Source organism: Homo sapiens, chromosome 5 (genome assembly GCF_000001405.40).
Source record: "Homo sapiens chromosome 5, GRCh38.p14 Primary Assembly".
Lineage (NCBI taxonomy): Eukaryota > Metazoa > Chordata > Mammalia > Primates > Hominidae > Homo > Homo sapiens.
Window position 1 is genome coordinate 42832725 of NC_000005.10, and position 15746 is coordinate 42848470.

Sequence of the window (15746 nt, forward strand, 5' to 3'; positions counted from 1 at the left end):
TCATGGCCATCTTATTTATTCTGTATTCTCCATATATAAGAAAGTGCCTGGCACATAGCAGACATTCAAAAAATATTTTTGAATGAATGTTACTAAATTGTATTGTTAGAGAAGGCAATATGGCAAATTTATTAAAACCACATATTTTGGGGCCAAATCTATGTTTGAATCTCATCTCTACCACATCATATTATGTGATCTTTGGCAAAATGACCTAACCTTGTTAAGTCTCCATTTCTACATCTTGAAAATGGAGGTAGTAACTACCTCAGAAGGTTGACATAAGAATTAGATAATGCTTATAAAGCTTTCAGATTTACCTAAGTGTTTAATATATGTTAGCTATTAATATTAGAGAAAATTAAAAAGGCATAATGACAGCCTAACTATACTCCTCCAAATTTACTTTTTTTTTTTTTTTTGCCTAAAGGCCTACACTCATTTACATATTATTGCCACAGCAAGTATCAGAGCCAGATCTTCAATATCCAGTTCTAATACATCCGATCCTTGAGTAAGAGTTGCTAACTACCTATATTAATGGACTAGCACATGCTTAATTAGGCATATTCTTGTCAGTTTTGAATTAACAACTAGAATTGATATTTCAGTAATTTGATGTTTCAAGAATAAGCTTTTCTTTCATTAACCCTAAAAATTACTTCAACCTAAATTAAGTTCATGCAGTAGTATTCTACAAAATCGAAGTTTTCCCATTATGGTTTCTGAAGAGACTTTAATAAGAGTTAGCCAGTCTCAAACCAGATGGTCTTTATAGTGACATAGTGGGAGGAATCCTATTTGAGGATAATGGGTCAATAAGAAACCCAGAATTATAGTTTGGTCTACAGAGTAAAGAAAGCTAAAATTCCAGGGCAATCACTCAAAATAATAATAGAAGAATCCAAACCGTAACCAAAACATCATGGTACTAATACAAAAACAGACACATAGACCAATGGAACAGAATAGAGAGCCCAGAAATAAGACTGCACACCTACAACCATCTGATCTTCAACAAAGCTGACAAAAGCAATGAGGAAAGGACTACCTATTCAATAAATGTGCTGGGATAACTGGCTGGCCATATGCAAAAGATTGAAACTGGACCTCTTCCTTACACCATATAAAAAAATCAACTTAAGATGGGTGAAATACTTAAGTGTAAAACCCAAAACTATAAAAACCTTGGATGAGAACTAGGCAATATCATTCTGGAAATAGAAATGGGCAAAGAGTCCATGAGAAAGACACCAAAAGCAATTGCAACAAAAATAAAAATTGATGAATGGGATCTAATTAAACCTAAGAGCTTTTGCACAGCAAAAGAAACTATCAACAAAGCGTTTACAACCTACAGAACGGGAGAAAATATTTGCAAATTATGCATCTGACAAAGGTTGAATATCTAGCCTCTGTAAGGAACTTAAACAAATTTACAAGAAAAAAAAACAAAAAAAGTGGGCAAATGACACGAACAGACACTTTTCAAAAGAAGACATACATGCAGCCAAAACGCATACAAAAAAAGCTCAATATCATTGATTATTGCAGGATCTGGCCAGCAGCCTGCAATGCAACGGGGCTCTTTCTTTGTTCCCAGGCAGATCAACAGGTCAAGAAATAAAAGACACACACAAGATAGTGAAAGCTGGGTCCAGGGGGGTCACCGCCTTCTGGTCCTGTGATGCCGCCAATGCACTGGATATACCAGCATTTATTATTAAGTTTAGTGAGGGCAGGGGTAGGTTAGTGAGGGTTTTAGGGTCGTTTGATTATGAGGTGAGATGGTCACATGGGGATGAAGTAAGTCTTTAACGTAACATTGGTATGCAGAAGTACAGTATACAGAGATAAGAATTTACAATATAGTGTGTGCATCAACAATTTCTAACAGAGCCTTAAAACAGAAACACAGTCTCTCCATAACCTATGATTAGCAAGATATTAATCAGCAGTAACAGTTGCAGCAAAAGCTGGTTGCAAACAATCAATAGAAACAGGATGTGAAGCTAGACAACCAGTTAGACCAGAAATTCTCAGAAGGGAGTATGCCTTAACCTTAAAGAGGCCTAGAAGAGCTGTGGCAAAATAAGGACGTTTATAGCCCTATCTTATCCATATGAACAGGCGCCCCTCATGCATCTGCTTATAGGCTCTCCACAAGAATCACATTCCATTCCCAGAGCTATGAACATCTGCTTTTCTGGGATAGGAATCCTGGTTATGTGAAACCTCCCTGACTGCACGTCCGTTTATAGGCTCTCTGCACGGGGAAGCACATTACGCGCTGTTGGCTCATTCTGGCAGCCCAACCTGGCATTGTCTTTACACAATCCTGCATGCAATTTTGTACGTACAATAATCAGGAGCATTTCATCTTTTACTCCATAGCAATAGTTTCAGGGGGTCTCCCTACAATTGATCGTTAGAGAAATACAAATCAAAACCACAATGAGTTACCATTTCACACCAGTCAGAATATCTATTATTAAAATGTCAAAAAATAACAGATGCCAGCAAGGTTGCAAAGAGAAGGGAACCCTTATACACTGTCAGTGGGTGCATAAATTAATTCAACTACTGTGGAAAGACGTATAGTGATTCCTCAAAGAACTAAAAACAGAACTGTCACTGGACCCAGACATTTTATTACTAGGTATATACCCACAGAAATATAAATCATTCTATCATAAAGACACATGCACATGAATGTTCATTGCAGCACTATTCACAATAGCAAAGACATGAAACCAACCTAAATGCCCATCAATGACAGATTGGATAAAGAGAATGTAGTACATATACACCATGGAATACTATGTAGCCATAAAAAAGAACAAGATTGTCTTTTGCGGGAACATGGATGGAGCTGGAGGCCATTATCCTTGGCAAACTAATGCAGGAAAAGAAAACAAAATACTGTATATTGTCACTTGTAAGTGGAAGAGAACACATAAACATATAGAAAAGAACAGCAGACATTGGAGCCTACCAGAGGGTGGGGGGAGGAAGAGGATCAGAAAAAAAATAACTATTGGGTACTAGGCTTAGTACCTGAGTGATGAAATAATTTGTACAACAAACCTCTGTGACACAAGTTTACCTATATAACAAACCTGTATGTGTACTCTGAACCTAAAATACAAGTTTTTCTAAAAAAAAAAAAGGAAGCCCAATCAACGGAATGAAAATAAAAGAGCAGCAGGAGCAAGGGTTTGAATCTTTCTGAGACCTTTTAAAATTAAAGTAATAGTTACACAATCAACTTTTGGGTTTATATCCAGCCCAGAGTTGAGGCCCCAGGAACCATGTTCCAGGGGATTATAGCTGACTTCCTGGGAAAAAAAAATAATACTAAGTGCAGCAAGAAAAAAAAGCAGATTGAAAGTGGGACTGTGGAAGCCTGGTTCTAAGAATACACCCAATGATTCCTTCCTCCTGATATCCATATCCTTGTGTAATCACTTTGAGAGGTGACAACATGCTAGTAGCCCTCACTCGCTCTCAGCACCTCCTCAGCCTCGGCATCCACTCTGGCCATGCTTGAGGAGTCCTTCAGTCTGCCACTGCACTATGGGAGCCCTTCTCTGGGCTGGCAGAGGCCACAGCTGGCTCCCTCTGCTTGTGGGGAGGTGTGGAGGGAGATGGCGCAGGCGGGAACCAGGGCTGCCTGCGGCACTCACGGGCCAGCACGAGTTCCTGGTGGGCGCGGGCTCAGCAGGCCCCGCACTCCTAGTGGCCGGCCGGTGCCAGCCACCCTGGGCAGTGAGGGGCTTAGCACCTGGGTCAGCAGCTGCAGAGGGTGCGCCGGGTTCCCCAGCAGTGCCGGCCTGCTGGCGCCATGCTCGAATTCTTGCCAGGCCTCAGCCACCTCTCATTGGGGCAGGGCTCGGGACCTGCAGCCCACCATGCCCAAGCACCCCCCCAGCCCTGTGGGCTCCCATGCGGCCCGAGCCTCCCCCTTGGGCGCTGCCCCCTGCTCCACGGCACCCAGTCCCATCGACCACCCAAGAGATGAGGAGTGCGGGTGCACAGCGCAGTACTGGCAGGCAGCTCTGCCTGCGGCCCTGGCACAGGATCTCCTAGGCAAAGCCAGCTGGGCTCCTGAGTGGGGTGGAGACTGGGAGAACTTTTATGGCTAGCTAGAGGATTGTAAATGAACCAATCAGCACTATGTGTCTAGCTAAAGATTTGTAAACACACTAATCAGTGCTCTGTGTCTAGCTAATCTAGTGGGGACTTGGAGAACTTTTGTGTCTAGCTAAAGGATTGTAAATGCGCCAATCAGCACTCTGTGTCTAGCTCAAGGTTTGTAAACGCACCAATCAGCACCCTGTCAAAAGGGACCAATCAGCTCTCTGTAAAACGGACCAGTCAGCTCTCTGTAAAATGGACCAATCAGCAGGATGTGGGTGGGGTCAGATAAGGGAATAAAAGCAGGCTGCCCAAGCCAACAGCGGCAACCCACTGGGGTCCCCTTCCACACTGTGGTAGCTTTGTTCTTTTGCTGTTTGCAATAAATCTTGCTGCTGCCCACTCTTTGGGTCCACACTGCCTTTATGAGCTGTAAAACTCACCACGAAGGTCTGCAGCTTCACTCCTGAGGCCAGTGAGACCATGAACCCACCAGGAGGAATGAACAACTCTGGCTGGGATGAACAAACTTCAGATGGGAGGAATGAACAACTCCAGATGTGCCACTTTAAGAGCTGTAACACACCGCTAAGGTGTGCAGCTTCACTCTTGAAGCCAGTGAGATCAAGAACCCACCAGAAGAAAGAAACTCCAAACACACATCCAAACATCAGAAGGAACAAACTCTGGACACACCATCTTTAAGAACTGTAACACTCACCGAGAGGGTCCGTGGCTTCATTCTTAAAGTCAGCGAGACCAAGAACCCACCAATTTCGGACACAACTTCTCCTTGAGCTAGGTGGACATAGTGACTCATTTGTAAGAAATAAAATATAGCAAAATAATGAGCTGTCACTTCTCAGACTCTAATTTCCATCCTTCTTCCCTCTTCCATTTCCTCCCTGGCTCTGAGCAAAGCCAGCTGCTAGGCTGTGAGCTTTCCTATGGAGAAGTACATGTGACAAAGAACTGAGGGAAGGCTTCAATGCAATAGCCAGCAAAGAAATGAATTATGTCAACAACAACATGAACGAGCTTGGAACAAGAACCTGTCTCCATTGAACCTTCAAATGAGAGTGCAGCCCTGGCTGCCATTTTGACTGCAGCCTTTTGAGAGGCTTTGAGAGAGAGAGATTTCAGCTAAGCTGCTCCCAGATTCCTGATCCAGAAACTGTAAGATAATAAATGTTTATTGTTTTAAGTGGTTAAGTCCTGGGATCATCTATTAGACAGTAATAGATAATTAATACAGAAACTATGCCAAAAGTAAGGGCCCCATTAACTCATTCATTTATTTGTTCACTTAACACTTATTTTTTGAGCATTGGTGAGATAAAACCATCCCAAGGACAAGAAGATTCCTCTGTCTTCTAAAAGTTTCATTTTATAGAAGTCCACGAACATCTAGAAAGGGCAGAAGTATTGAAGGCCCAGTCAGGGAAGGCATTCCAGAGAAGGTAAACTGAGTTCTTGGCCAGAACTCGTTGGATAGATAGTATTCAACAGGCAGGCAGGATGGGGACAAAACAAGTGGAGAAGTGAAAGGATGGTGGCAGACAGGAAACAGGTTTAGAATCTGAGACTCTACAGGTTAGTGAAAAGTATGAGGGGAAAAAACACAGAAGAAAAAAGCAAGACTCATTTAAACTTTCCTTGCTGGCCAATCACCACCAGCATCAGGGACTCTGTGGAAAAAAAGTCATCCTCTGCCGACCCTAATATTGTACATACAACTTGTTAATTCTGTCAAAGATGGGAATGCAGAGGACATAATTTCTTCATTTGGTTTATTGTACCATTTCTGATGAGACCATTGTTATACTACTACATTGTTCCTAAGCTTGAATGAACCATTTATCACTAAAAATGAGGGAGAAACAAAGCAAAAAAAAATGCTCAGATGCAACTTCTTGAGGATTTATATCTTATCAGCTAGACTCTAGAAATTTAGCTAAAATGTTGTATGTGTGTCATGAAATGTGGGAAGAGAGAAATTTTTAAGCCACAAATGCAAAACACCATTGGAAAAGATGACAGAATGATGATTATCATAGAGTTTTGAATTCCAGATATACAACAAGTGCACATCTATGTTATTAGCATTAGACCTTTCCATGGCTCTTTCTGGAGTGTTTGGAAAAAATCTTATAAACTTTACTCTGAAAATATTCTTTATTTCAGAAGTGAAGCATTTGAAGAGAAGATATAGGATCCTCTCAAGCGTCTGTTAATGTTGTTTTTATCACTGGCATCAATTTTTAATGTCTTGAGTTATTTAACTTAGACATTTCAATGATGAACATTGTTATGGAGGCTGAATTGTGTCCCCTCTAAAATTCATATGTTGATATTTTATCCCCTAATACTCATAATGTAATGGTATTTGGAAATAGGGACTTGAACGAAGTAATTAAGATAAAATGAGATTATATGAGTGGGCATTTATCCAATGTAAGTGGTCTCCTTATAAGGAGACTAGGAGACAAACACGCACAGAGGATCATGTGAATAAAGAGAGAAGATGGTCATCTACACACCAAGTTGAACGACCCTCATTAGAAACCAACCCTGCAAACAACTTGATGTTGAACTTCTAGCTTTCAGACCTGTGAGAAAATAAATTGCTGTTGTTTAAATTACCCAATCTGTGATATTTTTTATGGCAGCTCCAGCAGACTAATTCAGCAGTCCTTATAGTTTCACAAACAGAATAAATAGAAAAAAAATAATTCACTGAAACTTGTTACCATCCAACAGTAAATGTATTTAACTCATCTATAAACAGTTTCACATAATTTTCTCACTTAAAAAAAACTTCTGTTAAAAAAAGACATTCATTGGAGATGCATTTTGAAATATACATAATCTAAATTTAAAAATTAAAAAGTCATTATCCTTAATCGGTTAATATTACAGTTTATTGCCAGTGGTTTTTCTTTACAAACACATACACTAATGGTTCAAAATATCCTAACGCATCATGGATATTTTTTACATATTGTCAATGTGACTTTGGGCATATTGTTAACTTCCGTACACCTCAGTTTTGTCATCAGTAAAATGAGGATAATATGAACCGTTCAGGTTTTTGTTAATGATTTATATTAAAGTGCTATATACAAGGCACTTAATAAAGTGCCTGGCACCTAGTAAGCAAACAATAAGTGGTCTGTATTATTTGTATGTCCTGCATTTTACCAAAAGAGGGTCTTTCTGCATGTTATTTTTGCAATCTGCTTTTTTTCATATTTTATATAGCTATTACTAGTTATTTGTTACATTATCTTTCTGGGTATAAAAGTTACCTACACATAAGAATGTCCTCTCCTGGTCTCATGGAGTTTTTGTTTGAACAGCCTTTCTTCAAGACTCTCAGTGTAGAATTTCATGCAGTTTTAAGATTCTTGTTCTGTTAGCAATCTCCTTTCGTTTAGGAAAATTTCTAAAAGCATAATTGGGGTTGAGAACTCACTCAAATTTGAGACATTGCCAGGCAGTAAAGGAAAAACAACAGTTCTTGCTGACTCTGCATCACAGCTGCCAGATGCGTTGGTTAACTTGTGGAAAGGGAAACAAAATGGAATTGCGAAATGAAATGCTTTGGAGACCACAAAATGGTGGGGGCAGAATTGAAGTTTATCCCTCTGGTACTTTTAGTAACCGTTCTAAGGGTCATCTATATGCCAAGCCCACGGGTCTGAGCCAGTGGCAGGCTGCCATGGGGTGGAATGCGCTGATAAGAGGTAACTGCAGTCAGGGTACCAAGTGTACCAGGAAGCCACCTCTTCCATGCCTCCTACACCACCACTGCCACCAAAAAGCAACCTCCTCCACCTGAAGTTTTGTTCATTGAGCTTTCCTAAAAGGCATAAACTCACAAGAGAATTTCAACCTGAATTTTTTAGGATGAATGAGTTTCTAGTTCTTTTTCAAAGTGGGTGTCATGGGGGGGAAGGAAACAGCTTGAGAGAACACTCAGCCCATGTGTGTAAGAGAGACACCAGCTCCAAAGGGTGAAACAAATAAAAGGAAAGCTGGAGGCTGAAGCTTTAAGCCAGCTCAGTTAAGTCTTGGTTTACCTCCAACTGTGCAAGGGCCAGTCGAAGCTGTGCAGGGGAAGGGGTGTTGTGATAGATAGTCAATGTCGCTTACAAACACCGTGTGGCTATCATGAGGAAAAACTGCATCCTAGCAGGGCATCAAGATATCACTTTTGTACATGCAGGATAAGGCTGTCTCCATATAAAAAAACACCTGCTTTTATCCAGAGGCACTTTATGGAGCAGCCTTGGGCCCTATAGAAAGACACAAGACAGGAAGTGTGGTGAGCTCCTGCCTGTCAACAGTAGTTCTTTCTTCCAGTGCTTCCATTATCACATCAAATCAAATCAACGTATCTTTGTCAGGTGTCCAGGATGGGCAAGACCTGGCATGAAGGTAGCTCTGCCAAATGGAGGCTGCTCTGAGAAGGTGGCAGCTCTTTTTTGCAGCAGCTGTATCAGAGGACTTTGGCCTGGAAGGCTGTGAGGAAGCCAGTGATAGGAAGACTGGAGGAGAGAGCCACATCTCATACCCAAATGGTCAATTGCCACATATGTCTACATTGAAAAAGGAGCAAGTGATACCACAGGCTGAGCCAGTAGGGCTTTCCTGCCAGCTAGCTTTTTCAAAAAAGACAAAATTAGATTGTCTCCGATGAGAAGAATTTAACATGGATCTTTGAATAACCCTAAGAGTCAGATGTGACTTTATTTCATAACAGATATATTTCATGGAACAATATGTTCAAGAAGGTGGGTCAATGGCAAAATATTGCTGCAGTTGGTTGTATTTATTTTAATATTCTTTTTTTAATTTTATATTTTTACTCAAGAAGATGTAACTTTTTAAATTTTATTATTATTATTATACTTTAAGTTTTAAGGTACATGTGCACAACGTGCAGGCTTGTTACATATGTATACATGTGCCATGTTGGTGTGCTGCACCCATTAACTCGTCATTTAGCATTAGGTATATCTCCTAATGCTATCCCTCCCCCCTCCCCCACCCCACAACAGTCCCCGGTGTGTGATGTTCCAAACAAACAACCGCATCAAAAAGTGGGCAAAGAATATTATTCTTTTCTGCTGGTTTTTCTACCAGAGTTTGAAAGCATGGAACATTGTCAGCATAAACTTTATGCTATAAAGATGGCTGCAGTAGGACCCCTAAAATAACACAATTCCCAGACTATTGTTTACAACTAAACAGTTTCACTCATTTTTTGTCAGTATGCCTGAAAACATGGGTTCTTCATTTCTTTGTCTGAAAAATGAACATTGTACTGCCAGATAGATAATGATGCCTCCCAAGCCTCCCTAGCCTACAGTTTTCTAAAGAAAACTGCCAGCTAGAACCCTGTGGAGGAGAATTGCAGCAGACCATTGGTCCTAATTATGACTGCACATAAGAATCACTGGAGAATTTTAAAAACTTGTAACTGTCCAGGCCAGGCGTGATGGCTCACACCTGTAATGCCAGCATGTTGGGAGGCCGAGACAGGCGGATCATGAGGTCAGGAGATTGAGGCCATCCTGGCTAACATGGTCAAACCCCATCGCTACTAAAAATACAGAAAAAAAATTAGCTGGTCATGGTGGCACACACCTGTAGTCCCAGCTACTCTGGAGGCTGAGGCAGGAGAATTGCTTGAACCTGGGAGGCGGAGGTTGCAGTGAGCTGAGATCACACCACTGCACTCCAGCCTGGGTGACAGAGCGAGACTCTGTCTCAAAAAAAAAAAAAAAAAAAAAACAACTTGTCATGTCCAGAACCTACCCGCAGATTCTAATTCCAGGATTCTAATTAATCTTGGAGGGGGTTCAATTTATAAAGGCATTATAGAAGATTCTGCTTTGCAGCCAGAGTTGAGAGCCACTGCTCTAGATCATTCCATAAGCTGGGGTCTCTAGCTGCTCTCCACTATATGCAATTAATCTTGTTAATTAATTGAAATGGCCTGTGTCAGGATCTTCAAGATCATCCCCATATTCAGAGATTTGCTAGAAGGACTCATGGGACTCAGGAAATCACCACATAGCTAGGATTTATTACACAGATGAAATAACAAGAATACACAGTGAGATCATAATGGGAAAAGACACAGAATTTACAGAAATCCATGCACGGGCTTCCTATGCTCTCTCCTTCTGTAAAGGGAGACATGATGTGAGTGACTTACTTCCTTCAGCAATTAAAAATGCTGTATCATGTATGCAATGTTTCTGCCCAGGAAATCCCACTAGAGACTCAGCGTTCAACATTTTTATTGGGGGCTCATCACATCTACTCTCTGCATAACACATGCCAAAATTCCAGACTGGCAGAAGGAAAGCAGGTGTTCAGCATAAATCACATTTTCACAAACAATCTAGGCACAGTGAAACTTCTTTATCATTTGGAATTTATTCCAAATAATTATCTGTGGAAATTATTGTGCTAAGGGCCAACCTTGCAAGCAGACCCTACTAAAAATAGCAGCCTTAGGCCTGCTATGTTGACATTCTGCCCATGGCCCAAAACAGAGATAATGAATATCAGCTAGACTAATAAATTCTCTCTCGGGAATTTGACTTGAAAAACACAAAGAGCCTCAGGCAGTTGATTTTGAAATAAGTGACCAGACACAGAGGAGAGAAGCAAAAATTGAGAGAATGGTTGAGTCGCATTGATGACACTGCTCTAGTGAAGAGAACAAATTCCAGTGGTGAGAATTCAATAAGATAACTTAGTTTTTTGAGCTCTGTCATTCTTGTGTCCCAAATACTGTTTCTCTTTATTCCCTGAAACCTATCACCCCACTTACTCCTTGTTCTCCATGAATTTTCTGTTTCTTAGAGCCACTTCTGTCCTCTCTATAAATCTCAATAATTTTCTCCTTTCTACAAACCTCAATTACTCAGCCAGAGTGAGTTTTTAACCCTTCGAATGGAAAGCGCTAACATATCCACTCATCACCTGATAGTGAGCCAGGACCACCCATGACACAGGCTGGGACAGAGCAACCACTGTCACCCTCAAAGAAGAGAAAAAGGAATATGAGCTTGCCACCCAGAATGGGCTTCACAAAGCCACAACCATCATTTTTAGCAACATGCTGTCTTCCACACTAATTGGACTTTTAGCTGAATTGGTTAATTAATAACTTTGCAGAAATTATTGACAAGTTTTGGTCATGGAGATCATAGAGATTTAGTCCCTGTGGATCCAGAATAAAAGGCAAATAATTGAGAATGGTGCAAGAATTTCTAGTTTTACACCAGGCACAGTGCTTCACATTTGTAACCCTAACACTTTGGAGGACTGAGGCAGGAGAATCACTTGAGGGCCACGAGTTTGAGACCAGTCTGGGCAACAAAGTGAAATCCTATTTCTTTTTTTTTAATATAAAAGACGTAAATTTTATTCTTTTTTTATTATTCTACTTTAAGTTTTAGGGTACATGTGCACAAAGTGCAGGTTTGTTACATATGTATACATGTGCCATGTTGGTGTGCTGCACCCATTATCGTCATTTAACATTAGGTATATCTCCTAATGCTGTCCTTCCCCCCTCCCTCCACCCAACAACAGGCCCCAGTATGTGATGTTCCCCTTCCTGTGTCCATGTGATCTCATTGTTCAATTCCCACCGATGAGTGAGAACATGCGGTGTTTGGTTTTCTGTCCTTGCGAGAGTTTGCTCAGAATGATGGTTTCCAGCTTCATCCATGTCCCTACAAAGGACATGAACTCATCCTTTTTTATGGCTGCATAGTATTCCATGGTGTATATGTGCCACATTTTCTTAATCCAGTCTATCATTGTTGGACATTTGGCTTGGTTCCAAGTCTTTGCTATTATGAATAGTGCCACAGTAAACATACATGTGCATGTGTTTTTATAGCAGCATGTTTTATAATCCTTTGGGTATATATCCAGTAATGGGATGGCTGGGTCAAATAGTATTTCTAGTTCTAGATCACTGAGGAATCGCCACACTGACTTCCACAATGGTTGAACTAGTTTACAGTCCCACCAACAGTGTAAAAGTGTTCCTATTTCTCCACAACCTCTCCAGCACCTGTTGTTTCCTGACTTTTTACTGATTGCCATTCTAACTGGTGTGAGATGGTATCTCATTGTGGTTTTGATTTGCATTTCTCTGATGGCCAGTGATGATGAGCATTTCTTCATGTGTTTTTTGGCTGCATAAATGTCTTCTTTTGAGAAGTGTCTGTTCATATACTTCGCCCACTTTTTGATGGGGTTGTTTGATTTTTTCTTGTAAACTTGTTTAAGTTCTTTGTAGATTCTGGATATTAGCCCTTTGTCAGATGGGTACATTGCAAAAATTTTCTCCCATTCTGTAGGTTGCCTGTTCACTCTGAGGGTAGTTTCTTTTGCTGTGCAGAAGCTCTTTAGTTTAATTAGATCCCATTTGTTAATTTTGGCTTTTGTTGCCATTGCTTTTGGTGTTTTAGACATGAAGTCCTTGCCCATGCCTATGTCCTGAATGGTAATGCCTAGGTTTTCTTCTAGGGTTTTTACAGTTTTAGGTCTAACATTTAAGTCTTTAATCCATCTTGAATTAATTTTTGTATAACGTGTAAGGAAGGGATCCAGTTTTAGCTTTCTACATATGGCTAGCCAATTTTCCCAGCACCATTTATTAAACAGGGAATCCTTTCCCCATTTCTTGTTTTTGTCAGGTTTGTCAAAGATCAGATAGTTGTAGATATGCGGCATTATTTCTGAGGGCTCTGTTCTGTTCCATTGGTCTATATCTCTGTTTTGGTACCAGTACCATGCTGTTTTGGTTGCTGTAGGCTTGTAGTATAGTTTGAAGTCAGGTAGTGTGATGCCTCCAGCTTTGTTCTTTTGGCTTAGGATTGACTTGGCAATGCAAGCTCTTTTTTCATTCCATATGTACTTTAAAGTAGTTTTTTCCAATTCTGTGAAGAAAGTCATTGGTAGCTTGATGGGGATGGCATTGAATCTATAAATTACCTTGGGCAGTATGGCCATTTTCACAATATTGATTCTTCCTACCCATGAGCATAGAATGTTCTTCATGATATCCTATTTCTATTTAAAAAAAAATCTTAGTTCTATGTAACTCATCCATTTATATCTTGGTCTCACTCAATGTTTAGATGGACATATCTATGAACTTCAACATCTTTTTAAACAGTGAAATGATCACAAAACTATTCAGTTCAGATTATGTGAAATGCCAGCTTTCAGGTTAAAGCATTAAGCCTTCCTCTATCAAAAGATCATTCATTCAGGGAGAAATTCTCCTTCCCGAAAAAAAAAAAATCATTCCTTTATTCCTCTCCATTCTACAGCTCATTTTTCTACTGCTAACACTTTCCATTATCATTACATATTCTTTCTACCACAGTTGTTGTTGATTTAAATAAATAGTAGAATCTGAAAACAGGAAGAGGCATTACCAATCATCAGAATTCAAGCCTCTGAGGCCAGGCATGGTGGCTCACCCCTGTAATCCCAGCACTTTGGGAGGCCAAGGCAGGCGGATCACCTGAGGTAAGGAGTTCAAGACCAACCTGGCCAACATAGTGAAACCCTGTCTCTACTAAAAATACAAAAATTAGCCAAGCGTGGTGGCAGGCGCCTATAATCCCGGCTACTCTGGAGGCTGAGGCAGGAGAATCGCTTGAGCCCTGAAGGTGGAGGTTGCAGTGAGCCCAGATCGCCCCATTGCACTCCAGCCTGGGCTATAAGTGAAACTGTGTCTCAAAAAAAAAAAAAAAAATTCAAGGCTCTGGTTTTAAATATGAGGATTTGGAGACCCAGCAAGATTTTAGACTTACTCAAAAATCTCACAGTTGACTAGAACCAGAGCCAGAACTAAAGAACTCTGATCTTCTGACTTTCAGGCTAATTACTACTCTAGTTCTTTATCTTGTTTTGTTTTTTTTGTTTTTTTGTTTTTCCTGTGCAATTGAATTTAGGCTTCAAAACTATGGGTAACTAAGGACTATCTCTAAAGCTTTTTATCTTTTTGTCTGTTCTCATTCCCAGAAAATATTAACATTCACAAGGCTGTAAATTTGTGATTGTGCAATAAATAAATAATTCAAAACTCTCCAATTTGCTAATGTTTGCTGACTAAAATTACATGTTTCTAAAGAACAGGAAGCTGTGCTCAAAATTTGTACTTTTCAGTCTAAGAACAAGTCAGCACGATGTGTTGTTTGTCATAGTTATATCTAAAAGAGAATATAACCTTCACTCACTGGTTTACTTTTAAAACTGTATCACATGACAGTGTTCAACTCAAAGAAGGTAAATGTTGCCGGGCGCGGTGGCTCATGCCTGTAATCCCAGCACTTTGGGAGGCCGAGGCGGGTGGATCGCGAGGTCAGGAGATCAAGACCATCCTAGCTAACACGGTGAAACCCCGTCTCCACTAAATATACAAAAAAAAAAAAAAAAAAAAAAAAAATTTAGCCGGGCATAGTGGTGGGCGCCTGTAGTCCCAGCTTCTCGGGAGGCTGAGGCAGGAGAATGGCGTGAACCCAGGGGGCGGAGCTTGCAGTGAGCAGAGATCACGCCACTGCACTCCAGCCTGGGCGACAGAGTGAGACTCTGTCTCAAAAAAAAATAAATAAATAGAAGAAAGTAAATGTTACCTGTACAGCAACTGCTTTACTCAGAAGTCAGGCGTCAGTTAATCTATCAGTAACCAATGGAGAGGAACTTAGCTAACCATTATTAGAGTCACAAATCAAGAAGCTCTCAGAGCATTTAATGAAATGTAGAAATATATTAATAATGCACAGGAAAACAGAAAGTGAAATGCAGAAATAATAATATACAGGAAAATATTTAAAACAATAAGCACTAGATCGTATAATAAATCTTTCAATGTCATAAAAACTCAAGCATGAGAGAGATCAGCAGAGATAGAGCTAGTCCAATTAATATTTTCTAACTAGGCATTTGTGCTTGAAAGTAGTTAAACTAGAACATTTTTGCCCCTGAGGCATATTAGAAAGCCAAGACAGCTTTGGGGTCCAGCTGATTCTTCTATTTCTTCTCTTTGTACAATGAATATCATACTACTGTATAATGAATATTGTATTAATGTTATTGAACACATCCTATGTGCTAGAAAAACTGGACATCTATATGCAAAAAACAAAAACAAAAAAGCCTCAACTTTATTTCACAGCATACACAAAAATCAACTCAAGATGGATCATGGATCTAAAACTATTACACTTCTGGAATAAAACACAGGAGAAAATCTTTGTGACCTTGGCTTAGACAAAGACTTTTAGACATGAAATCCACAAAAATTTTTGCTCTTCAAAAATCGCTATAAAGAGAATTAAAAGACAAAGTGACAAACTACCAAAAGAAAATGCAAAAAAAGATATCTGATAAAGGACTTGTATCTAAATATTAAGAAATCAAAAAATAGTAAAAACAACCGAATTTTAAATGGGCAAAAGATTTGAACATGTGACTGAGAAGAGATACAAATACAAATGGCATATAAGCACATGAAAAGAAGTTCAAAATCATTCGTTATTAGGAAAGTAAAAATTAAA

The 15746-nt window shown here is 39.9% G+C and overlaps 1 long non-coding RNA gene across 1 annotated transcript, besides 1 other annotated feature; it reads left to right on the top strand.

Annotated features, from left to right (window-relative positions):
- The first annotated feature begins 4850 nt into the window (after nucleotides 1-4850).
- On the top strand, nucleotides 4851-6779 carry LOC124900970 (uncharacterized). Its single transcript, XR_007058751.1, has 2 exons — nucleotides 4851-5313; nucleotides 6322-6779. It is a non-coding gene; the product is annotated as an uncharacterized LOC124900970 (long non-coding RNA).
- Nucleotides 14606-14778: a silencer, noted in NCBI's record as "fragment chr5:42847432-42847604 (GRCh37/hg19 assembly coordinates)". NCBI's record gives its function as "represses an EF-1alpha promoter that drives an FKBP-Casp9 reporter gene in an ReSE screen in K562 erythroleukemia cells {active_cell/tissue: K562}" and the evidence as "EXISTENCE:reporter gene assay evidence [ECO:0000049][PMID:32094911]".